General features: G+C 50.8%; 1 protein-coding gene across 2 annotated transcripts, besides 5 other annotated features; it reads right to left on the bottom strand.

Annotated features, from left to right (window-relative positions):
- Positions 1-1,511: 1,511 nt before the first annotated feature.
- VPS18 (VPS18 core subunit of CORVET and HOPS complexes) lies at positions 1,512-11,037 on the bottom strand. 2 transcript variants are annotated; one of them, NM_020857.3, is made up of 5 exons: positions 10,628-11,037; positions 9,408-9,549; positions 6,489-6,580; positions 4,473-6,343; positions 1,512-2,871 (listed from the first exon to the last, which is right to left on the bottom strand). In NM_020857.3, exons 1-5 carry the CDS (start codon positions 10,716-10,718, stop codon positions 2,146-2,148), a joined length of 2,922 nt encoding a protein of 973 aa, NP_065908.1. In that variant the 5' UTR covers positions 10,719-11,037; the 3' UTR covers positions 1,512-2,145. The 2 variants fall into 2 exon arrangements, with proteins under 2 accessions (NP_065908.1, XP_011520145.1); XM_011521843.3 differs by lacking the exons at positions 9,408-9,549; positions 10,628-11,037 and adding an exon at positions 6,676-6,779.
- Positions 10,222-10,311: an enhancer, noted in NCBI's record as "active region_9270". NCBI's record gives its function as "activates an Ori minimal core promoter by ATAC-STARR-seq in GM12878 lymphoblastoid cells {active_cell/tissue: GM12878}" and the evidence as "EXISTENCE:reporter gene assay evidence [ECO:0000049][PMID:35858748]".
- Positions 11,152-11,321: a silencer, noted in NCBI's record as "silent region_6348". NCBI's record gives its function as "represses an Ori minimal core promoter by ATAC-STARR-seq in GM12878 lymphoblastoid cells {active_cell/tissue: GM12878}" and the evidence as "EXISTENCE:reporter gene assay evidence [ECO:0000049][PMID:35858748]".
- Positions 13,443-13,492: a silencer, noted in NCBI's record as "silent region_6347". NCBI's record gives its function as "represses an Ori minimal core promoter by ATAC-STARR-seq in GM12878 lymphoblastoid cells {active_cell/tissue: GM12878}" and the evidence as "EXISTENCE:reporter gene assay evidence [ECO:0000049][PMID:35858748]".
- Positions 14,761-14,810: a silencer, noted in NCBI's record as "silent region_6346". NCBI's record gives its function as "represses an Ori minimal core promoter by ATAC-STARR-seq in GM12878 lymphoblastoid cells {active_cell/tissue: GM12878}" and the evidence as "EXISTENCE:reporter gene assay evidence [ECO:0000049][PMID:35858748]".
- Positions 20,491-20,540: an enhancer, noted in NCBI's record as "active region_9269". NCBI's record gives its function as "activates an Ori minimal core promoter by ATAC-STARR-seq in GM12878 lymphoblastoid cells {active_cell/tissue: GM12878}" and the evidence as "EXISTENCE:reporter gene assay evidence [ECO:0000049][PMID:35858748]".

Raw genomic sequence — 25,663 nt, 5'->3', positions numbered from 1 at the left:
AGGCTGAGGCAGGCGGATCACTTGAGGTCAGGAGTTCGAGACCAGCCTGGCCAACATGGTGAAACCCCGTCTCTACTAAAAATAAAAAAAGTAGCCAGGCGTGGTGATGTGCACCTGTAATCCCAGCTGCTAGGGAGGCTGCGGCAGGAGAATCCTTGAACCCGGAAGGCGGAGGTTGCAGTGAGCCAAGATTGTACCACTGCACTCCAGCCTGGTGACAGAGCAAGACGCCATCTCAAAAAAAAAAAAGAGGGTTCTTGCTCTGTCACCCAGGTGAAGTGCAGTGGCACAATCATAATTCACTGCAGCTTCCATCTCTTGGGCTCAAGCCATCCTCCTTCCTCAGACTCCCAAGTAGCTAAGACTACAAGTGTGAGACCCCATGCCTGGCTAGGAAGAGGATTAGACTGGAGGGGAAAGCAGCCTGCAGTGGCCAGCGAGGTTGGCCTGACTGCAGGAACTGTCTTGCCAGCTGACAGATCACACCCAGAGAGCTGGGCAGTGCACTGTGAACACCGGTCCATGGGGCAAAGGGTGCTCTGCTGATGTCACGGGGAGACCCCATTCCAGGACTCCCTAGGATTTAGCCACAACTAAAGATGTGTAATTTGTGGGGAGGAGCAGGTCACAGGAGCAAGATGAGAAAACATGTCTGCCAAATGCCATGGATACAGGCCACAGCAGTCTCACCTTCATGCTGGGCCTCAACGTTGTGGTTAAATGGCAGATAGTGGCAGGGCCATCTTAAAGCCAGGCAGGAGCTGGGAAGGCGGGGATCCAAGCTGGCAGAGGGGCAAGCAAAATCTAGCATGCCTGAGGGCTACTCGAGGGAGGAAGAATGAGGGGCTTGAAGTTATGGTTAGACAGTGGAGACTCCAAGAAAATTCTTTTTTTTTTTTGAGATGGAGTCTTGCTCTGTCGTCCAGGCTGGAGTGCAATGGCGCAATCTCAGCTCACCACAAACTCTGCCTCCCGGGTTCACGCCATTCTCCTGCCTCAGCCTCCCGAGTAGCTGGGACTACAGGCACCTGCCACCACGCCCGGCTAATTTTTTGTATTTTTAGGAGAGACGGGGTTTCATCGTGTTAGCCAGGATTGTCTCGATCTCCTGACCTTGTGATCTGCCCACCTCAGCCTCCCAAAGTGCTGGGATTATAGGCGTGAGCTACCATGCCCGGGCGACTCCAAGAAAATTCTTGCGACAAGTAGGGAGGAAGCAAGCACTAATAGAGTGACAGAAATCACTGCTCCCAGCTGCCGGAAAGCCAAGGATTCTGTGGGGAGCAGCACCATCTGCTGGCCAAAGGGAAGAACAGCCCCTGCTTCACAATTCAGGTTGGTTGGCTGCAATCCCCAATGAGCCCTGGAGAGGCAGAGTTGGCGGACAAGGTGAAGGACTGCGTGCCAAGGTGTGGGGGCATGTAGGGCCTGGCAGCCTCCCTGTGACACTCCAGCCCCGCCTGGAGATCACTCACACACCGCTCGGCCCAGCATCGACACAAAGCCACCAGTGCAGTGCAGACAGTTTAATGCTCTCCACCTCCATCACCACCACCGACCATCCTCCACAAGGCCCTCAGCCCCAGGGCACCCTTCACACTGGAGCCCCAGAGAGTGTGCACAAAAGCATGCCCCAACTAGCATCACTTTCTCACCCAATGCCCAGGACTTCGAAGGCTGCCTTCTCACTTCTGGGACACCTACAGGCAGGAGGAAGAGAAGGCTTCTTCTGAGAGAGAAGAGCTGGGATTCCAGAGGCCGCAGAGTGAACAGACGGAAGAAAGGTGCTCTCTCTCTCTCTCTCTCGAGGTGAACAGGACGTGTGTGGGGAATGACAGGGACAGAAGAGGTGCTAGAGGCAGGGGGTGGAATTGGGTCAGATTTCTGACTTCTCCAGGTGAAGGGCCTCTACTGGGAGGCAGGCTGATGGTCTGGCATAACTGCAGCTCTGAAGAACAGCATGAAAAGCTGGCAGAATACACTCACACCTGACACCTCCTGGCCAACAGCGCTACTCTACTCCCGTCAACGTGGTCACAGTGTGGCAATTGCAAGATGACTGAGCAGAGCCTAGGAGGCAGCCTTCTCAAGTGGGTTCAAGCCACTGCTCCCCATTGCCCACCCCCCATCAAAGGTGACACCCTCCTACAGCCAACTGAGCTGCTCCTCCTCGTAGCGCTGGGGGTCGATGAACGGCCGGTCGATAGAGCGGATCATCAGCTCCCCACAGTACACACACTCAGCGGCCACCAACTCATCCAGGTCAGCCTTGAGCTGTTCCCGGCTGGGCCCTGCCGTGGCAGCCCCACCCTCGGCCTCCTTGGCCCGGGCAGAGCCCTTGGCTGGGGGTGGAGCAGCCCCCAGCTTCCTCTGCAGCTCCTCCAGCCGGGCCTGCTTGTAGGCTGGCAGGCCAGGTCGCACAGCCTGCAGCAGGCAGTCAGCATGGAACATATGGCCACAGAGGAAGAGGTAAAAAGGGCGGTTGAGCAGGGGGAAGTCGCAGGTGGCACATTTGTCCTGGGGCTCCACAGTGCCGTAGCGGCCCCGCAGCTCCTGCAGGTCTCGCCGGATGCGCTGGGCACTGGCTGTAGCCTCTTCCATCTCCCGCTGCAGCTCCTGGATGTGGTGGTTGTAGGCCTTAAGTGAGCTGCAGATCGCCTCCTTGAAGTGGTCGATGGTGACGAAATCAGGAAAGAAGGGCAGCACATCCTCAATCTTGAGCAAGGGGCAGCTAGCCAGGCAAGCCATGGCTGTCTGTACATCTTCCTCTTCCTGCACCACGTGCCGTGCGATCTTCAGCCACAGCTTCTTGCGCAATTCCTCATCCTCCTCAGGCAGGTCTGCACACTGCTTGGCCAGGTCCACATCCACCTGTGGGGAGAGCATGGGCTTTAGGGCCAAGCCCCTCCCTGCCCAACATGGAGACTATGGGAGAGAGAGATGGCCGAGGAGAGGCCCCGAGGCAGGATTCCCAGCACTCCTGGAAGCAAGGGGGCCTGCCGCTGCCACAGCTATGTAAAAGCTACTTAGAGTAGTAGGGCTCCAATTTTAGTGAAGTTAGAAATCACCGGGGAGGCTGGGCGCAGTGGCTCAGGCCTATAATCCCAGCATTTTGGGAGGCCAAGGCAGGCAGATCACGAGGTCAGGAGATCGAGACCATCCTGGCTAACACAGTGAAACCCCGTCTCTACTAAAAATACAAAAAAATTAGCCGGGTGTGGTGGCGGGCGCCTGTAGTCCCAGCTACCCGGGAGGCTGAGCCAGGAGAATGGCGTGAACCTGGGAGGCTGAGCTTGCAGTGAGCCGAGATTGGGCCACTGCACTCCTGCCTGGGAAACAGAGCAAGACTCCGTCTCAAAAAAAAAAAAAAGAAAGAAAGAAAGAAAGAAAGAAATCACCTGGGAAACATATTCAAAATACAAATTTTTGAGCCCTGCCCCCAGACATTCTGATTCAGTAAGTCCTGAGTTCAGGCCTAGGAACTGCATGTTAAATAGCACTTCATGCGATGCAGCACCCTCCTCTTCTGCTAACGTGCATGTACCAGGCAGTGTTCTAAGTACTTTTCTTTTTTTCTTTTTGAAACAAAATCTCACTCTGTTGCCCGGGCTGGAGTGCAGTGGTGCGATTTTGGTTCACTGAAACCTCCTCCTCCCAGGTTCAAGTGATTCTCCTACCTCAGCCTCCTGAGTAGCTGGAATTACAGGTGCGTGCCACCACGCCCAGCTAACTTTTGTATTTTCAGTAGAGACAGGGTTTCGACATGTTGGCCAGGCTGGTCTCGAACTCCTGACCTCAGGTGATCCACCCACCTTGGCCTCCCAAAGTGCTGGGATTATAGGCATGAGCCACCGCGCCCGGCCCCGAGTATTTTTCTTTTCTTTTTCTTTTTTTTTTTTTGAGACGGAGTCTTGCTCTGTCACCCAGGCTGGAGTACAATGGCGTGATCTCAGCTCAATGCAACCTCTACCTCCCAGGTTCAAGCGATTCTCCTGCCTCAGCCTCCTGAGTAGCTGGGATTACAGGCATGCACCACAATGTCCGGCTAATTTTTACATTTTTAGTAGAGATGGGGTTTCACCATGTTGGTCAGGCTGGTCTCGAACTCCTGACCTTGTGATCCGCCCACCTCGGCCTCCCAAAGTGCTGGCGCAAGCCACCACACCCAGCCCTGCGTACTTTTCATACACAGAACTTTATCAACCCTATGAGGTAAATGTACTATAACACTGACCCCCTTTTGTGGCCAAATAATCTGAGCACAGAGAGGTTCAGAAACTAACCCAAGGTCACACAGCTTAGTAAGTGGCATAGCCAGAATTCAAATCTGACTTAACAGTCCATGCTCTTAACCTTCCCTCTCTGCAAGGGAAGCCAGCACCCTCTAGCCATGGCCCCCCAAGCCCTTCCACATCTAAAGCTACTGCTCTTTGGGTCCCTCTCCCAGCTGGGGTCAAGACGTACTGGCTTACCTGCAGGGCCAGGTCCACGGCCTCCTCATACAGCTCTAGGACCTTGTAGACATGGACACAAGCGCGGTGGTGGCCATGCTCGGCGCAGAGCCGCAGCGCATACTTGAGGTCGTAATGCACCCGGTGGGGGCTGGCCCCAGCCTGCTCCAGATAGGCCAGTAGTGAGTCCGGCCGGCCACGGGCATACAGTGACAGCAGGTAGTTGTGGATGGCCTGCTCAGTCTCCCCCAGCACGTTCACGCAGAACTCCATGTAGCGGATGGCCTGGCTCACCTGCTGGACCTCACCACCCTGGCTGTAGTTCACCAGGGCAGGAATGAGCTGACGAGCATCCAGCCGGCTGCCCATCTCAATCCAGGCATCTACAAGCTGGCGGGGGATGTGACGGATGAGGATGGGTGAGAACTTGTAGAAGAGCTGGGGGTCACGGTGGCGGGCGAGCACGGCCAGGGCCTCCTCGTAGGCCTCGTGCTGACAGTGGTAAGCCACCACCCGCTCATAGTCCTGCATGATCACTGCAAAGTACACCATGTGTTCTGTGTCCCCATGACTGGCGAGCAGCTCATGGATAGAGGCCCGGCTGGCAAAGAGCCACTCTTTGTGGCGGGGGCTGCTGAGGAAGGTTCGAAAGCATTCCTTGGTTTCTCGGTAGAGAGTCAGGGCCTCTGGGTCGCCCTGCAGAGCCCCAAGCCGGCTCAGGTAGAGCTCTGTCAGCCAGGTGGTCAGCAGTGTGGCCTGGGTACGTTCGGCTGGCTTCAAACTGGCCAGTTTTCGCTGCAGGAACTCAGCCAGAGCCTCCTCCTGTCGGGCCTCCAGGAACTTGAGGGCAATCTCCTCAAAGTAGCTCTGGGTCAGGGCATAGCAGCGTGCGCTCTCCAGGTAGCGACGCTGGCGAAAGCAGAAATCGGCCTCCCGGGCCAGGACCGTGTCCAGGCAGTCGGGCCGCTCTCGACAATACTCTTTGGCCAGATCGAAGCGGTTCATGTCCAGATAGGTGCGCCAGACATCTCGGGCCTCCCGTTGCACGTGGTAGCGGAAGACAGCCCGCTCAGTGTAGGCCCACAGCTGGCCTGTGGAGGAGTCCTTCACCATGTGCTTCAGCGGCCCAAATTTCTCCAGGAAGTGATCCCGCAGCACCACCTGCCCGGTCAGTGTGCACACTGCCTCCACCCGGTCTGCCAGTAGCAGCAGGAAGTGGAACTGGGTCAAGACGATGGCTAGGGGTGGGCTGGCCCCAGGCCCTACCCCCTCTGGGTACTCCCAGACTCGCTCCTCGCTCAGCAGAGAGTCAGGGCGCCCACAGTCCAATGCCCCATACAACACACCATCCCCCATCATCCAGGCGAAGGCCCGGGGTGCGGAGCGCAGCTTGGGGGTGTAGAAGGCCAACTCACTGTAGCCCAGGTTGCTGGGAAACTCACGGAATGGGGGTGGGTGGTCCGTGTAAGCTGCAAAGAGCCCTGAGAAACCCTGGGCCTCAGCCCCCTCTGCTGCTCGGCCTATGAACTGGAAGAGGCGCTGCCGAGTGGTGGCAATAACAAAGCTACGCCCATCAGGGCCCCGCTCGGCCTCAAGGGAGCACACAGGTGCTGGACCCCCTTCTTCATTTAGCACGTACAATGGGCGGAAGTAGAGATCCGGAGCAGGGCCGAAAAGCCCACCTTCGCTGGCTGAGAGCTCTGCTTCAAAGATGTGGCCTTGGGCAGTCCCGACCAGGATGGGGCCTGTGCTGCTCTCCGTGCCCAGTGCCTTGTTCCAACCCACACTCTCCACCAGCTGCCCCTTCCAGCGTGCTAGTGGCCGTACCTTCTGTCCATTTCGGTTCACGTAGAGGACCTCCGTGCTGCTCAGGGCAATCAGCAGGTGAGAGCCTGGAGTGGGGAGAGCATGGCGCCCCAGTGGATGCTGCCGTTCCCATCCTCAGCCTCCTCCTGGCCCCCACACCACCCTCAGAGCCCACCCACCCAGGCAGTGACTGACCAGAGACCCCCTCCTCAGATCTCCACTGTTACTTACCAGTATGGTCAAGGAACATCTTGTGAACTTTTGCGTCATCCTTACGTCCCAGCTCCACGTGGTTGGGCTCATTTGCCTTGCCCAAGTCAATGCTGTGGGGACAAGCGTCACCATCACTTTAGAGAAGGGAAGATCCTTTTTTGGATCATGATCTTCTTTAATAATCTGATAAAAGCCATAGACTTACTTCCCTGAAATATACATCTATGCATAAAATGCTGAATACAGGCCAGGTGCACTGGCTCAGCCTGTAATCCCAGCACTTTGGGAGTCCGAGGTGGGTAGATTGCTTGAGCTCAGGAGTTTGAGACCAGACTGGGCAACATGGCGAAATCCCATCTCTACAAAAAATACAAGAAAATTAGCAAGGTGTGGTGGTACACACCTGTGGTCCCAGCTATTTGGGAGGCTGAGGTGGGAGATCACCTGAGCCCGGGAGGCAGAGGTTGCAGTGAGCTGAGACTACACCACTGTATTCCAACCTGGGCAACAGAGTGAGACCTCATCTCAAAAAAAAAAAAAAAAGAAATTGCTGAATACAGCAGCTCTGCCTATGGAGTAGCCCTGAAAAATATACAGGGCCCTACTTAAGAACTCTCTTGCCAGGTGCAGTGGCTCACACCTGTCATCTCAGCTTTTAGGGGCACAGAGGCGAGAGGATAGCTTGAGCCCAGGAGTTTGAGGCCTGCCTGGGCAATATAGCAAGACCGTGTTCTCCACAAAAAGGGGGGAAAAAAAAAAAAAAGGCCGGGCGCGGTGGCTCACGCCTGTAATCCCAGCACTTTGGGAGGCCAAGGCGGGCAGATCACAAGGTCAGGAGATTGAGACCACGGTGAAATCACATCTCTACTAAAAATACAAAAAATTAGCCGGGCGCGGTGGCAGGCGCCTGTAGTCCCAGCTACTGGGGAGGCTGAGGCAGGAGAATGGCGTGAACCCGGGAGGCGGAGCTTGCAGTAAGCCGAGATCGAGGCACTGCACTCCAGCCTGGGTGACAGAGCAAGACTCTGTCTCAAAAAAATAAAAAGAAAAAGAAAAGAAAAAAGACAAACAACAACAACAAAAACCCTCTCAGCTCTGCAAGCTCCCTCACCTTATTTTGAGAAATCACTAAGGAGAAGTTTTTCCCCTCTGCTCAAAAAAGAATCAGACTTGAAGGAAGAAAACAAAAAGATCTCCAGTGCATCTGGGAAGATAGGCAGAGATATCCCAGATTGCTGAGGTAAGAAGGGAACAACAAAGAGTAGCTCATAGTTACTGGGCACTTTTATATACCAAGCACCATGCCAAGAGCTTCATCAATCTAGTATTATCTCAATTAATCTTGACAAAAACCTTGAGAAGTACTCCTGTTTATATTTTCCTTATGAAATTCTTTCCAAATTATATGCTTGTTCTAACTAAAGAATCGATGCAAAGATGTATAAAGAATGACTTAATTTTCTTCTCAAACTCCTGTTATTCCCAACTGAGAAAATTCATGTTAACATCTTTTTTCATACTCATAACATAAATAGGGTGGTTTTGTTGCTGTCATTATAAAAATGCCTTCATATTGCACATATGTGTATGTGTCTTAATTTGTAAATTTTCTAAATTAATGATATTTCATGAACATTCCACTAGTCAATCGATATAGCTCTAACTTTTTTTGTTTTTACCCCCAAACCCAGCTTTCCAGGATAACTCTTTTTTTTTTTTTCAGACAAAGTCTTGCTCTTGTCATCCAGGCTGGAGTGCAGTGAGCATGATCTCGGCTCACTGCAACCTCTGCCTCCCGGGTTCAAGCCATTCTCCTGCCTCAGCCTCCCAAATAGCTGGGATTACAGGCACCTGCCACCACACCCTGCTAATTTTATATTTTTAGTAGAGAAGGGGTTTCTCCATGTTGGCCAGGCTGGTCTTGAACTCCCGACCTCAGGTGATCTGCCTGCCTCAGCCTCCCAAAGTGCTGGGATTACAGGCGTGAGCCACCTCGCCCAGCCAGGATAATTCATTTTTTTAAACAACTGCATTATATTCTATTTTGTGGCTGAATTGCAGTTTAATCACCATTTTCCTATTGATGAGCATTCAGCATGGATCCAGTTTTTCCCACCACAAGAATGCTCTAATCAATACTCTAATACTCTTAAGTCTACACTCCTAAACAGTTTTTTTTTTTTTCCTTTTCCTTTTTTTTTTTTTGAGATGGAGTCTCACTGTTGTCGCCTGGGCTGGAGTTCAATGGTGCAATCTCAGCTCACTGCAACTTCCGGCTCCCAGGTTCCAGCAATTCTCCTGCCTCAGCCTCCCCAGTAGCTGAGATTACAGGCGCCTGCCACCACGCCCGGCTAACTTTTGTATTTTTAGTAGAAACAGCGTTTCACCATGTTGGCCAGGCTGGTGTCGAACTCCTGACCTCAGGTGATCCACCCTCCTCAGCCTCCCAAAGTGCTGGGATAACAGGTGTGAGCCACTGCACCTGACTTTTTTTTTTTTTTAAAGAGACAGGAGTACAGTGGTGCAAACACAGCTCACTGCAGCCTTGAACTCCTGGGCTCAAGTGATCCTCTTGCCTCGGCCTCCCCAGTAGTTGGGACTGCACCATCACACCTAGCTAATTTTTAAAAATTTGTTTTGGTAGAGACGGGGGTCTCACTATATTGCCCAGGCTGGTCTCAAACTGCTGATTTCATGTGATCCTCTTGTCTTGGCCTCCCGAAGTGCTGAGATGATAGGTGTGAGCCACCATGCCCTGCCAGGCCAGATACTTAACCACTACCCTGTATTGGTTCTCTTTGGAAAGGGATAGGATATTTCCTGAAAACTCCAAATTCACTGCTTTACTTGCCTGGAATAGAAGAAAGGCCCAGTGAGTTAACAGTCCCCAAACACCTCTCTAGTCCCTACTCCTAAGCTCTGTGAGCTCTTGATTACCGGAGCAGTGTATCCTTGCCCAGGCTCATGCACAGCTGATTGCTGGAGACGACAAGACTGGTAATGCGCTCGGAAGGGGTGAAGTCAATGCGCTGCTTTGTGAAGATGGGCACTTCCTTCTCCAGCTGGGCATTCACATACCCTACAGGTAAGGAATGACAAGAAGATTAGCTGTGGAAGAGACAGGTGAAGGGCAAGGAGAGGCAGAAAAAACACCACAGTGCTCCTCGCCACTTTCCTGACATATTCCTATCCCCAGGACCTTGGTTAACAAATAGTTTGATATCAAGTCGTTTGCTGGTCACCTTTACAATAGAGGTCTGGAGCTCTTTCCACACTCTGACAGCAGTGAGGGGTTGATTCTTTGAACCCTTAAGATGCTGTCACAGCATGATATACCTGCTCCCACTGGTAATGGGGCTGCGTGGAGGTGGGACGGGACTGGTGGTCTGGGTATTCTCCCTTATCAGGTCTTTGGCCCAGCAATCCCAGCTTAACTGAAGTAGTATAGCCCCATTCTCTGCCCCCCTCCCTGCCCATGCGGTAATGAGCCTCAGTGTAGAGTTGGCAAGTGCTGGGATATTTTGAGCATTGAATGAAGGTAAAGACTAGAGTGAAAGCAGCTCCAATTCGTTAACTCCACTCACTGGAACAGTTCCCCAGGGCTCCCTATGCCCTCATTCTCCTGGAGACTCACTACTTTCTACAAAAACGTCCCCAAACTCCAGGCTGCACCCAGCTATAGCCAAGGCCAAAAAGATTTCATCTCCATTTTCCCCGTTCAGCGACAAAATTCCCTCTGGGACCCTCCCTTCTTCCTCTGCAATACTCCGCCTTCACCACTTTCTTTGTCCATTCCTTCCCTCCCACCTCCAGAAGGGGCCTGGTGGGAAAAGCATCAGCAGAAGCCGGGAGCCCATTCTAAGTTCTCCCAACAGCCCAACTGCGCCCTGTAGGTGAGTAATTCCTTATCTGGGCCCCAATTCCCTCTCAAAAGGACCCTAGCGGTAGAGCCTAGATCACGCGGCAGCTCCCGTTGCTCTTTCAAACTTCGACTATCCACCAGCTGGGGGCCAAGAGAGCCTGAGGAGAATCAGGGGCCTAGACCCGGAAGGCACGGCCCAGGGGATGACCCCGAGCTCTTGGAGCTGCCCTCCTCGCTGCTCCCACGCAAATGCTAGGAGAGCCGAAAGGGGCAGCGGCACCCTCCTCTTCCTTACCCGAGTGGGGGATGCCCACGCTAGGGCAGCCGGGCTGCAAGACGGCCGAGCGGGACAGCGAGTTCTCGTACTCATCCAGGATGGACGCCATGGTGCCCGGCCTCTGGGCTCTTTGTCCGGGGCCTGGGGATTACAAAAGGGCTACCCCCCCGGGGTCCCCGTCGCCCCAGAATGGAAGCTGTAACTCCCCAGCCTCTGACAGATCCTGGGAACCTGCAGCCGTCGCCTCCTCTTTAAAATCCTGAGGATCCTCTTGCTCTTGCCTTATGCAGCGAGATAATCGGGCAGCCCTCGTCCTTGAATCTGGCGCAGTCTTGCACCTTACTCCCCGCCCCCGCTACAAAAAAATCACAGGCTCCCTTCAGCCGGTGCCAGGTGATCCCAACCTCGCCCCGGCAGCTCAGCTGACTCCCGCCCCCGTGACGCGGGCCTAAAACGTAACTTCCGGGTTCTCAGAGCCCCGCGTACGCTGGCGCACAACGTCGCCGGGCCAGCCAGCAGAAGGCGAGACGAGGGCTGAGGGCTGGGCGCGTGGCGAGTGCTGCTGAACACAAGCCCCGCCCCCAGGATCCTGCTGCAGTTCCGAGCTTTGACACCAGGAGGCAATCCCGGCTTTCTCAGCCGGCCTTCCCCACCCGCCCCGCGCCGCCCAGTTTTGGCTTTCGTGCCCAAGCTCCGCTCCCTCGGGTGGTCTGTCCAGCCTCCCTGACCAGCTCCCGCTCCCGCCTCTCTAAACAGCCTCGGGGAACCTCCCGTTCCTCAATCCAATCGCTGTCTCTATCCCACCGTCACAGGGCACACGCAGACAACTCCTGGCCACTCTTCTCCCTTACCCAAAGGCCCCCCAGCTTCCAGGAGACCGCAGAGCTGGTGGCCAGGCTAGTGGGAAGCCCTGTGCCAGGAACCGCCCTGACCTGCCCCACAGTGGCTCCTTGGCTCAGGGTTGCTGGGCCGCTTCCATTCACTCATTCACCAAAATGTGGTTGAGCACTTACTCTGTGCCAGGCCTTGGGCTGGGCGCTGGGGTCACAGAGATGAGGACAGCCCCTCCCCGCCCTGGAAAAGGTCGTAAGCCAGCAGGGGCGCTGGACCCGTAAATAGACCATTCATACTAGAAAAGCAAGTGATGGATTATCCATCAGGCACTTACTCCACGAATGAGCGTCCACTCTGTGCCAAGCACTGTTCCAGGCTCTGGGGACGTGGCAGAGAACAAGACGGAAAATGTCTCTTGCCTGGTGGGGCGTACCCAGCGACGTGGCCACGGCACTGAGAGCGTGAAGGAGCAGGGAACAAATACCTGCCAAGCCTAGCAAGAACGAGGGACAAGTGGGAGCAAGCGTGAAGGCGGGGGCCGCCCAGCCTGAGGTGGAGAGGGGAGTCCTCAGCCAGGGACCTGCGAGGGCTGGGGCGCGACTGTGGTTGGGTTTTCCTCTCTCACCTGCTTAGGCGACCCAGATGGAGTCTGTTCCCTTCTGGGGCCCTTGGATTCTACCTTGCTAAAGTGGAAGGCTCTGGACTAGGGTCGCCACCGTCCTGGCTCTGCTGGGCGGCCCCCGCCTAACAACTAAGAGCATCCCTTTGCTCTCAGAAGTTTCCAGGTTTGCACCATACCTTATGTGGTTGGGTTACTCTTGCTCAACTTCCTGGCCACGTGCGGAGAACTGTGACTCTCACCAGCCCCACTGAGGGCTATCTGGGCTCTCTGGCTTGGAGGGGCACTAGTCCTGGGGCAGGTGACAAGTATGCTGTCCAGGCTCATTTCCCTTCGCACCAGGGTCCTGCTTCTCTTGACCAAGCCTGCAGCCTCAATGCAGCCTTCCCACCTGAGGTTGCCAGGTCCCAGGAGGGAAGTGCAGGAGCAGGACAATAGGCAGGAGGCTTCCTCTAAGAAAAGTGATCCCAGACAGGGAGCTGCCCTGCTCCATACATAACACTTCACCCCCAGGTCACCTGCCATCTGCCCTCAGGTCTGGACTGTGCAGAGGGTTGTCCCTGCTGCACAGAGCCCATTAGCAGTTGGAGGTCAGCATAGGAGTGCTGCCTTAGGGACACAGAGTACTTCCAGCTACAGCCTCAGGGACCCCAGCACCCCATTGTTGGGCTCCATGGCTCTCCGGGATGTATGGGATAGGCCTGGGTGGACCCTGTTTGTGGCAGACTCAGTACAGTCTCCCTTATGCGTTGATTACCACAGTGCATTTCCACCTACTCATTCTTCAGTTCTTAGGCTGGACTTTGGATTCTTTGAGAGCCACAGAATCAAGTGTGGCAGTTGCAATGAGACAGGTAAGGGATGACTGCTAGGGCATCAAAAGAGAGGATTCCTGTATGAAAGCAGCTGAATTTGACCCAAGACTTGAAGTGCATGTATGATCTCCAAGGGCAAGCTGTATCTCTTATCCCTGCCCAGCCACTTGCTAGCTGTGACACTGCACAGTTGATGCTCTTAGCTTCAGTTTCCTCATCTACAGAGACAAATACCTACCTAGTAGGTCTGTGCTGAGAAGTAAATGAGGGATCCACGTGAAAGCTCACTGCTATAGTATAATGCCCAACATGGAGCATGTGCTTAATAAACTCTAAATGTGACTTTCATCTGACAGTCTCTCTCAAGTCCTCCTCCTTCCTGAAGCCTCTCTGGATCCCTCAGAACTCTTTTTAGAGATGGGATCTTGCTCTGTCACCCAGGCTGGAGTGCAGTGATGTGATCATAGCTCATCTAAACACCTGGGCTCAAACCATTCTCCTGTCTCAGCCTTCCCAGTAGCTGGGATTACAGGTGCGAGCCACTGCGCCCAGCTGGCTTTTCTTATTCTGGCCACTTGGGGGCCCCTAATGATGCAGTGTGGACATTTTGCTTTGATAGAAACTGCAGGAAATAACCCAGTGATTTCTGAGCATGAAGATACAGAGGTGCCTTAGGGAACTCACAGCTAGAGACATACGCACCAGCCTCTAGTCCTCAGAGTCATTGTAGCAGTTACCATGAGACAGGTAACAGGTGACTGCTAAGCCAATGAGAGAGAGGATCTGTGTAAGAAAGCAGTTGAATTTGACCTAAGACTTGAAGAGCATGTAGGACCTCTAAGGGCAAAAAGAGAAGGTATTATGCAGTCCTCAAGAAAACCAAGAGCAGGGCTGAGCACGGTGGCTCACACCTGTAATTCCAGCACTTTGGGAGGCTAAGGTGGGAGGATCACTTGAGTCCAGTAGTTTGAGACCAGCCTAGCCAACGTGGCAAAACCCCATCTCTATTAAAAATACAAAAACTAGCCAGGTGTGGTGGTGCATGCCTGTGGTCCCAGCTACTCGGGAGGCTAAGGCAGGAGAATCGCTTCAACCTGGGAGGCAGAGGTTGCAGTGAACCAAGGTTGTGCCACTACACTACAGCCTGGGTGACAGAGTGAGACTCTGCCTCAAAAAAAGAAAAACAGAAAGGAAAGAAGGAAGGAAAAAGGAAAGGAAAGGAAAAGAAAACAGCAATGGCCTGCAAGCAGTGTGATTTTGGGGTACAACGGTGGAGTGCTAGGGAGTGGAGGGAATGAGGCGGGCTGTGGCCAGGTTGCAAAGTTATTCAATGCGCCATGGGAAGGTTTTGGTTGGGGTTGAGAGAGTATATGATGTGGGTTCTGGAAAAATGGGTGGTGGCTTAGGTGGAGATCCCCTCAGAGCAGATGAGACCCGAGCAGAGGCAAAGGAGAAGCAGTGAGGACCCAAACAGGAGAAAGAACATAGGCTGGGGAGAACTTTCCGAAGAAGGGCCCCCAGGACTTGGTGTCAAGTTAGATTTGAGAAGTGACAGAAGAGTGCAGGATGACTCCTGGGGAGACCTGGCAGATGGTGGCAGTGACATAATGGTCAAGGAGGAGGATCCCGGTGAAGAGGGGTGGGGTCACTTGATTGAGCTCAACCTGGACAGTGGCACATGAGACAACTGCAGGGCACTCCGTGGAGGAGCCCAGACCATGGGCACACTCTTCCAGGACACTCACTAACTCACTCATAAACAGTTGTTAAAAGTTGCATGAATGAGCTCTCTCATGTCTCAGTTTCTATATTTGTAAGGTGAGTATTGTGAGTATAATAGCATATTATGCAAATCACCCAAAGCTGTGCCTCAATACAAAATGCTCTATACAAGTTAACTACCAGTAGTAATTGTTGACTTAGTTAAGACCAAGATTAAAAGGAATGATTTAATTGACTTAATTAAAAATAAATTTTCTGGTTGGGTGCAGTGGCTCACACCTATAATCCCAGCAGTTTGGGAGGCTGAGGCAGGAGGATCACTTGAGTCCAGGAGTTCAAGACCAGCCTGGGCAACATAGTGAGAACTTGTCTCTATTAAAAAAAAAAAAAAAAAGATTTTCTGTTTGAAATAATTTAAAATTTACAGGCCGGGCGCAGTGGCTCATGCCTGTAATCCCAGCACTTTGGGAGGCCGAAGCGGGCGGATCACAAGGTCAGGAGATCGAGACCATGCTGTCTAACATGGTGAAACCCTGTCTCTACTAAAAATACAAAAAAAATTACCTGGGCGTGGTGGTGGGCGCCTGTAGTCCCAGCTACTCGGGAGGCTGAGGCAGGAGAATGGCGTGAACCCGGGAGGCGGAGCTTGCAGTGAGCCAAGATCGTGCTACTGCACTCCAGCCTGGGCGACAGAGTGAGACTCTGTCTCAAAAAAATAAATAAATAAAATAAAAATTTACAGAAAAATTGAGAAGATAGATCAGAGAGTTCCTATATACCTCATGTGCAGTCTCCTTTAGTATGAATATCTTACATTAGTATGGTGCCATTGTTAAAATTAATGAACCAATATTGACATATTATTATTAACTAAAGTTCATACTCTATTCAAATTTCCTTAGTGTTTTTTTTTTCTTTCTTTCTTTTTAGACGGGGTCTCACTCTGTAGCCCAGGCTGTAGTGCACTGGCTCAATCATGGCTCACTGCAGCCTTTTTTTGTTTTGTTTTGTTTTGAGACAGAGTCTCGCTCTGTCACCCAGCCTGGAGTGCAGTAGCTTGATGCGGCTCACTGCAACTTCCACTTCCCAGGTTCAAGCGATTCTCTTGCCTCAGCCTCCTGAGTAGCTGGGATTACAGGCATGCGCCACCATGCCCAAATGATTTTTGTATTTTTAGTAGAGATGGGTTTCACCATGTTGGCCAGGCTGGTCTTGAGCTCCTGACCTCAGGTGATCCACCCGCCTCGGCCTCCCAAAGTGCTGGAATTACAGGTGTGAGCTACCAGGCCCGGCCTGACAGCCTTGACTTCCTGGGCTCAAGCGATCCTCTTGCCTCAGCCCCTCAAGTAGCGTGGACTACAGGTGCACACCACCACGCCCAGCTAATTTTTGTATTTTTTTTTGTAGAGAGATGGTTTTCCCATGTTGCCCAGGCTGGTCTTGAACTTCTAAGCTTAAGCTACCTGCCTGCTTTGGGCTCCCAAAGTGCTGGGATTACAAGTGTGAGCCAGTGTGCCCAGCCCTTAGTTTGAATGCCCTTTTTCTGGAACAGGATCTCATCCAGCATTCCACACTACATTCTCATCATACTATATGAAGGTGCATATCAGCTTGACTTAACACTATTGATCTTACTTTTGATTACCTGGCTGAAGGAGTGTTCTTCAGGATTCTCAAATGTAGTGTTTTTTTTTCACCCCTTTCCTATTTATTTATATCAGTAGAGAATTGTGGACATTTTTTTCTTTTTTCCCTTTTTATTTATTTATTTATTTATTCTTTTTTTGAGACTGAGTCTCACTCTGTTGGCCAGGCTGGAGTGCAGTGGTGCAATCTCAGCTCACAGCAACCCCCACCTCCTGGGTTCAAGCAATTCTCCTGTCTCAGCCTCCCAAGTAGCTGGGAATACAGGCGCGTGCCATCACGCCTGACTAATTTTTGTATTTTTAGTAGAGACGGGGTTTCACCATGTTGGCCAGGCTGGTCTCGAACTCCTGACCTCAAGTGATCCACTCACCTCGGCCTCCCAAAGTACTGGGTTTACAGGCATGAGCCACCGCGCCAGGTCTATTTTTATTTATTTATTTTTAACTTCCAGAACCCACCAATACTACTTTATATTATTACTCAGATTGTTCCTGTTTGGGCCACTAGAGTCTCTCTTTTTTATTTTATTTTATTTATTATTATTATTTTTTGAGACGGAGTCTGGCTCTGTCACCAGGCTGGAGTGCAGTGGCGCAATCTTGGCTCACTGCAACCTCTGCCTCCCTGGTTCAAGTAATTCTCCTGCCTGAGCCTCCTGAGTAGCTGGGACTACAAGGGCGCACCACCACGCCCAGCTAATTTTTGTATTTTTAGTAGAGACGGGTTTCACCATGTTGGCCAGGATGGTCTCGATCTCCTGACCTTGTGATCTGCCCGCCTCGGCCTCCCAAAGTGCTGGGATTATGGGCATCAGCCACTGTGCCCTGCCGGAGGCTTTTTCATTGATGCCTGTGTCCATTTGAAGTACAGCAGTTCCCCCTTATCTGTAGTTTTGCTTTCTGGGCTTTCAGTTGCCTGCAGTCAATAGCAGTCTGAAATAGGTGTGGATAATAGAATAATATATTTTGAGAGAGTGAGAACACATTCACCTAACTTTTATTTATTTATTTATTTTTGAGATGGAGTCTTGATCTGTTGCCCAGGCTAGAGTGCTATGGTGCAATCTCGGCTCACTGCAACCTCCACTTCCTGGGTTCAAGCAATTCTCCTGCCTCTGCCTCCCGAGTAGCTGGGACTACAGGCACCCACCACCATGCCTGGCTAATTTTAGTATTTTTAGTAGAGACGGGGTCTCACCATGTTGGCCAGGCTGGTCTCCAACTCATGACCTCAGGTGATCTGCCCACCTCAGCCTCCCAAAGTGTTGGGATTATAGGTGTGAGCCACCGCACCCAGCCTCACATAACTTGTTTGTTTTTTTTTTTTTTGAGACGGAGTTTCACTCTTGTTGCCCAGGCTGGAGTGCAATGGCGCTATCTCGGCTCACCACAACCTCCGCCTCCCGGGTTCAAGTGATTCTTCTGCCTCAGCCTCCCGAGTAACTGGGATTACAGGCATGTGCCACCATGCCCAGCTAATTTTGTATTTTTAAAAGTAGAGACAGGGTTTCTCCATGTTGGTCAGGCTGGTCTCGAACTCCCGACCTCAGGTGATCTGCCTGCCTTGGCCTCCCAAAGTGCTGGGATTACAGGCATGAGCCACCTCATCTGGCCTACATAGCTTTTATTACAGTCTGTTGTTATAACTGTCCTATATTATTATTGTTGTTAATCTCACAGTGGGCCTAATTTATAAATTAAATTTTATCACAGGTTATGTATAGGGAAAAACAGTCGTCATGTCTCCTTGGACTGCTCTTGACTGGCAGTTTTTAAGTTTTTCAGATATTCCTTGTTTTTGATTACCTTGATAATTTTGAGTACTAGGCAAGTATTTTGTTGAATGCTCTCTGTTGGAATTCATTTAATTTTTTTTCATGTTTAGACTAGGGCTATTTATGGTTTGGGGAGATAAAGAACCATTATCAACACCTCTCTATTATATCGAGGATACACACTATCAACATGATTTATCATCATGACTGATCACCTGACCAAGATAGTGCTTGTCAGGATTCTCCACTACAGAGTTACTCTTTTCCCTCCTTTCCATGCTGTACTGTTTGGAAGGAAGTCACTACACACCTACACACCCTGCACTTAAGGGGTGGGAGTTTTTGCTTCCTTGAGGGTGAAGTATCTGCATAAATCCTTTGGAATTCTGGCATTCTGGCCAGACATGGTGGTGCACACCTGTAGTCCCAGCTACTCGGGAGGCTGAGCCTGAAGAATCGCTAAGCAGAGGTTGCAGTGAGCTGAGATTGTGCCACTGCACTCCAGCCTATGTGACAGAGTGAGCCTGCTGTCTCAAAAAAAAAAAAAAAAAAAAAAAAGACTTACTAAGAAAGAAAACCTAGCAGTCCTTTGCCCCATCCCCAGTTAAATTCCATCTGTTTTCATTGCTCAGAGCCCCAGTCACGCTGATCTAAGGATGTTTCCAAAATGCACCACACCCATTTGGACATTAGAGTGTCTGGTGTTGAGGATTTGCTCCCTCTAGAATGGCTTCCCTGATACTCCTCCCCTTGCCAGGACCAGGCCCCTGTCTTCTCTAATTCTCACCAGACAGGGAAAAGTGTCTCTAGCACACCACTTCCTGGCACAGGGCCTAGCACAGTTGTTGGCTTCCATTAAAATATGCTGAGGAAAGAAGACCCTTGGCCTGTTCAGAACAGCTCTCCACGCCCTTCTTTCTTCTCCTTCATGTTTGGCTCCCTTCTGCATGTGTCTAAACCTACCTGAATCGCCCCAATTCTCAAAAAGTATCCCCTCCCTGCTACTGTCATCCCTCTCTCACTGAGGGAGCTTCTAGCCAAGCTGCTCTCTTTCATCCCCCCACTGCCCTCAGGACTGCAGGCCCAGTGGCCTCACTTGTCTAGGTCAGAAATGAGAGCATCCTCAAACCAGGGGTCCTCGAACAGGGGTTCACACATCCTTAGGGGTATGAAAGGGTCTCCCAAGTGACAGAGGGTAGAAATTATTTTAAGGGAATCAGTTTCCAGATCCCCAACTGCATTGGGCTCTTTCCTAAAGGTGACCAGCAGGTCTAGGTACCTGTAAACAAGTGGCAGGTCCCCTTGCATTCCTACTGCCCGGCCCCTGCTTTAGGAGAAGAAGCTTATCACACACCACTCCATCACAGGCTCAGACCTGGAGCCCCAGGGCTTTGGGAGGCTGAGGCAGGAGGATCACTTAAGACCAGGAGTGGCCGGGCGCGGTGGCTCACACCTGTAATCCCAGCATCTTGGGAGGCCAAGGCGGGTGGATCACCTGAGGTCAGGAGTTTGAGACCAGCCTGGCCAACACGGTGAAACCCCGTCTCTACTAAAAATATAAAAATTATCTGGGCTTGGTGGCAGGCACCTGTATTCCCAACTATTCAGGAGGCTGAGGCAGGAGAATCGCTTGAAGCTGGGAGGCAGAGGTTGCAGTGAGCCGAGATTGCACCATTGCACTCCAGCCTGGGCGACAAGAGCGAGACTCTGTCTAAAAAAAAAACAAAAACAAAAACAGGGGTTCCAGACCAGCCTGGGCAACATAGTAAGACCCCATCTCTACCAAAAAAAAAAATACAAAAATGAGCCAGGCGTGGTGGCGCATGCCTGTGGTCTCAGCTACTCAGGAGGCTGAGGTGGGAGGATGGCTTGAGCCAAGGAGGTCAAGGCTGCAGTGAGCTGAGATCACACCACTGCACTCCAGCCTGGGTGACAGGGCGAAACCCCATCTCAAAAAAAGAAAAAAAAAAGATGAAATGTTTGAGTTGTCAGCATAGTTTATAAGCTTCTTTAGGGAGCATGGGAAATGGGGAGTCAATGCTTTGTGCCAGCACCACATCTGCCAGGAGCCCCACCCTCACCCCGCTGGTTTTTGCTCTCCCCACTACCACTCTCCATGCTGTTTCTCCAGTGGCCTCCTTGGCCAAGCTCTTAAAGCCCCTCTTGTTTTCAGATATGAAACCCAACTTAGCCAACACCTTTGGACAAGTCCCCTACCCCCTCTGAGCTACGCTTTTCTTTTCTCACCTGTAAATTGTGAAGGGGGAACTTAACCATCTCTAATAATTCTGTGATTCTCTAAAAGCTAAACCCAGCCAGGTGCAGTGGCTCACGCCTGTAATCTCAGCACTTTGGGAAGCCGAGGCGGGTGGATCACCTGAGGTCAGGAGTTCGAGACCAGCCTGACCAACATGGTGAAACTCTGTCTCTACTAAAAATACAAAAATTAGCCAGGCGTGGTGGTGCGCACCTATAATCCCAGCTACTCAGGAGGTGGAGGTTGCAGTGAGCCAAGGTTACGCCATTGCATTCCAGCCTGGGCAACAAGAGCAAAACTCCGTCTCAAAAAAAAAAAAATGCCAAACCCTTGTTGTGGTCCATTTAGAGATCTTTGAGGTCAGTGCTCAGGAAATAATGGTTTTCAGAGCACTGCCTCAGAGCTGGGTGCTATGCTTCTTACCTATCCTTTAGTAGTCTAGAAGATATTTCAAAAGATGTTGAAGCCAGGGAACCTCATCTGATTAATGTGAAATCTAATAGCCACCTCTCATCCTTCCAGCCCTGACAACCTTTTAGATCATAAGGCCTGACACACTGTAAGTACTTGGGAAGTGCCTGCTGAATGAATGCATGACTTGGCATGTTAACGTGCATCACATGCACACACTATATCACACGCGTATATATGAGTTAACTATATATTCATCCGTATGACCTATTGCAGAAACTGTTTTCAAACTTAAAAAAATAACTGAAACGGAGTCTTGCTATATTGCCCAGGCTAGTCTAGAACTCCTGGGTTCAAGCAATCCCCCTGTCTTGGCCTCCCAAAGTGTTGGAATTATAGGCATGAGCCACTGTGCACAGCCTGTTTTCAAGCTTTTAAAAAATGATGAGATTTAGTATTAAAAGCAACAGCAGGCCAGGCATGGTGGCTCACGCCTGTAATCCAAGCACTTTGGGAAGCTGAGGCGGGAGGATCACGAGGTCAGAAGCTCGAAACCAGCCTGACCAACTTGGTGAAACCCCCATCTCTACTAAAAATACTAAAATTACCCAGGCATGGTAGAGCGTGTCTGTACTCCCAGCTACTCAGGAGGCTGAGGTAGGAGAATTGCTTGAACACTGGATGCAGAGGTTGCAGTGAGCCGAGACTCAAAAAAACAAATAAAATAAAATAAACAGCAACAATACAACAGCAACAAAATCCAAAATATTTTTTTAATTAAAAAATTTTTTTTTGAGATGGAGTCTTGCTCTGTCGCCCAGGCTAGAGTGCAGTGGCAAGATCTTGGCTCACTGCAACCTCCACCTCCTAGGTTCAAGTGATTCTCCTGCCTCAGCCTCCCAAGTAGCTGGGATTACAGGTACCCACCACCGTGCCCAGCTAATTTTTGTATTTTTAGTAAAGACGTGCTTTCACCATCTTGGTCTGGCTGGCCTCAAACTCCTGACCGTGTGATCCACCCGCCTCAGCTTCCCAAAGTGCTGGGATTACAGGTGTGAGCCACCACGCCTGGCCAATTTTTTTTTTTTTTTGAAATGGAGTCTGGCTCTTGTCGCCAAGGCTGGAGTGCAGTGGCGCGATCTCGGCTCACTGCAGCCTCTGCCTCCCAGGTTCAAGCAATTCTCCTGCCTCAGCCTCCCATGTAGTGGGGATTACAGGGACCCACCACTGCCCAACTAATTTTTGTATTTTTGGTAGCGACGGGGTTTCACCATGTTGGCCAGGCTGGTCTCAAACTCCTGACCTCAAGTGATCTGCCCACCTCAGCCTCCCAAAGTGCTGGGATTATACGCGTGAGCCACCGTGCCCAGCGCCAAAATATTAAAAACCAACAACACCAAGTGTTGTGAGGTTGTGGAGCAACTGGGGTGTCATAAAATGCTGGTGGGAATATAAAATGGTACAACTACTAACAGCCACTTAACATGCATATTTACCTCATGACCCAGCAATTCAATATCTGGGTATTTATCCAAGAGAAATGAAAATAATATGTCCACACAAAGATTTGTACATGAATGTTTATAGCAGCATTATTCATAATAGCTGCAACTGGAAACAAGTCAAATGTCAATCAAGAGAATAAACAGGCTGGGTGTGGTGGTGGCTCACACCCGTCATCCAAGCACTTTGGGAGGCCGAGGTGGGAGGATCACCTGAGTTCAGGAGTTTCAGACCAGCGTGGCCAACGTGGGGAAACCCCATCTTTACCAAAAATAGAAAAATTAGCCGGGCGTGGTGACAGGCTCCTGTAATCTCAACTACTTGGGAGGTTGAGGCAGGAGAATCACTTTAACCTGGGAGGAGGAGGTTGCAGTGAGCCAAGATCACACCACTGCACTCCAGCCTGGGCAACAAGAGCAAAACGACATTTCAAAAAAAAAAAAAAAAATAAACAAACTGTGGTATATCCATATAATGGAATATTACTCAGCAAAGAAAAAAAAAAGAACTGTCCGGGTGTGGTGGCATGTGCCTGTAGTCCCAGCTACTTGGGAGGCTGAGGCAGGAGGATTCTTGAGCCCAGGAGTTCAAGGCTGCAGTGGAGTCATGATCATGTCACTGCACTCCAGCCTGGCAACAGAGACCCCATCTCTAAAAAAAGAATAAGTAAAATAAAAATTAAAAAGCACAAAAAAACAAGCTACTCTTATACACAACAGCATGAGTGAATCTCAAAAACATACTGAGGTGCTGGATGCAGTGGGGCACGCCTGTAATCCCAGCTACTTAGGATACTGAGGCAGGAGGATCTCTTGAGGCCAGGAGTTTGAGTCCAGAGATGAGCGAGACACCCCTCATCTCTAAAAATAAATAAATAAATGGCCAGGCGCGGTGGCTAACGCTTGTAATCCCAGCACTTTGGGAGGCCGAGGTGGGCAGATCATGAGGTCAGGAGTTCGAGACCAGCCTGGCCAACACAGTGAAACCCCGTCTGTACTAAAAATACAAAAAGTAGCTGGGCGTGGTGGTGGGCACCTGTAATCCCAGCTACTCGGGAGGCTGAGGCAGGAGAATCTCTTGAACCCGAAGGTGGAGGTTGCAGCAAGCCGAGATTGTGCCACTGCACTCCAGCCTGGGCGACAGAGCTAGACTCCGTCTCAAAATAATAATAATAATAAATAAATAAATTAATTAATTAAATAGAGCCAGCGTGGTGGCTCACGCCTGTAATCCCAGCACTTTGGGAGGCCGAGGCAGGCAGATCACTTGAGCTCAGGAGGTCGAGACCAGCCTGGCCAACATGGTGAAACCGCCTCTCTACTAAAAATACAAAAATTAACCAGGAGTGGTGGTGCACACCTGTAATCCCAGTTATTCAGGAGGCTGAGGCAGGAGAATCAATTGAACTCAGGAGGCAGAGGTTGCAGGGAGCTGAGATTGCACCATTGCACTCCAGCGTGGGTGACAGAGCCAGACTCTCTCAAAAATAAAAATAAAATAAAAATAAGAGAAAATAAGGAAGTTAGTAGGGGAGTTTTTTAGGTAAAGGTTTTAGGTGGCAACTCTTGCAGGCATTTAAAAAGCTAGGGCTTGGGTGCAAGATCTGAGCGGAAAGAGAGGTTGGAAGGGGGCAGTAGCGGTGGGATCAGCTGGATGGCGAGGTGGAGAGAAATGAAGGGAGAAGCGGAGGCCAAGTCTGGGTGCGAGGGAGCAGGGAAGACAGGACAGAAGTCCAGGAGCCAGCCTGAGCCCAAGGGTGGTCTAGAGGGTGTGGGGACTGAGGAAATGGACTTGAAGGGTTGACCAGCAGCACCATGGGGCAAACTCAGCCCAGCTGGGTAAATTTGCCACAAACTCCCTCCAAGGACACAAGCACATGGAAATAGAGAAAAATCTGTGTTGCTGGGTGTCGTGGCTCACCCCTATAATCCCAGGACTTTGGGAGGCTGAGGCAGGAGGATTGCTTGAGCCCAGGAGTTTGAGAACAACCTGGGAAACATAGGGTGACCCAGTATCTACAAAAAAATTAAAAAGTTAGACAGGTGTGGTAGCATGCACCTGTGGTGCCACATACTGAGGAAGCTGAAGCAGGAGGATCACTTGAGCTTGGGAGGTCGAGGCTACAGTGAGCCCTGATCGCACAACTGTACTCCAGCCTGGGTGACACAGCAAGACTCTGTCTCCACAAAGAAAATAAATAAAATGCATAAAATAAAGAAAAAGGAAGAGAAAAACCTATGGTGGCCCAATTTCCACTGAAAGCTCAGAAAGTGGGTAGTCAAGTTATTGTATTATTATTATTGTATCATATAACTATATTATAATATATAATTATATATTAAGTTATATATAATATATAATTATTATCAGTATGTTGGTAAGCAAGTGTTAAATATAAAATTCTTTTTCTTGAATTCTGTTTTTATTTCAAAGCTTTCTGACCTGCCCATCTCAGTCTCTGAGCTCATCCTAAGCAGCAGGCCTGATTTTGGGGGTCTTGGACTGGAGTATGCAGAAGAAACAGAAAAAGACAATGAGAGTGCATTCACTCAAAAACAACCTCTCTCTGGATGGAGCCCTTGGAATAACTTTTCCCCACCACTGGTGTTCTTTCGTTTTTGTTTTTAATTTTTTTGAGATGGAGTCTCGCTCTGTCTCCTAGGCTGGAGTGCAGTGGCGTGATCTCAGCTCACTGTAACCTCCGCCTCCCAGGTTCAAGCAATTCTCCCTACATCAGCTGCCGGAGTAGCTGGGATTACAGGTGCATGCAACCATGCCCAGCTAATTTTTGTGTTTTTAGTAGAGACAGGGTTTCACCATGTTGGCCAGGCTGCTCTTGAACTCCTGACTTCAGGTGATCTGCCTGCCTCAGCCTCCCAAAGTGCTGGGATTACAGACGTGAGCCACCGTGCCTGGCCGTGGTGTTCTTTTGTTAATCCCTTATTTGCCAGCGGAATAATTGTGGTGGTAGGGTAGGGGGTTGGTTTCTTTTGGTTTATTCTTGTCCAGGTTTTGCTATAGGCATTCCAGTGTTTTCAGTAAACTTAAGATATGGAATTAACAAAAATACCTAATAAAACTTGACAACACTGGCTGGGCACAGTGGCTCATGCCTGTAATCCCAGCACTTTGGGAGGCCGAGGCAGGTGGATCACCTGAGGTCAGCAGTTCGAGACCAGCCTGATCAACATGGTGAAACCTCATCTCTACTAAAAATACAAAAAGTAGCTGGGCGTGGTGGTCCACTCCTGTAGTCCTAGCTACTTGGGAGGCTGAGGCAGGAGAATCGCTTGAACTAGGAGGCAGAGGTTGTAGTGAGCCAAGATCTTGCCACTGCACTGTGGCCTGGCCGACAGAGCCAGACTCTATCTTAAAAAAAAAAAAAACTTGACCACGCCTGAGGGTGGACCTGTGGTTGGCTTGTTCATTCTGGAACAGACTGCCACTTACTAGTTTCTTTCATCTTGGGGCA

This window comes from Homo sapiens, chromosome 15 (genome assembly GCF_000001405.40).
Source record: "Homo sapiens chromosome 15, GRCh38.p14 Primary Assembly".
Lineage (NCBI taxonomy): Eukaryota > Metazoa > Chordata > Mammalia > Primates > Hominidae > Homo > Homo sapiens.
This window is presented reverse-complemented; position numbering and strand designations above follow the sequence as displayed.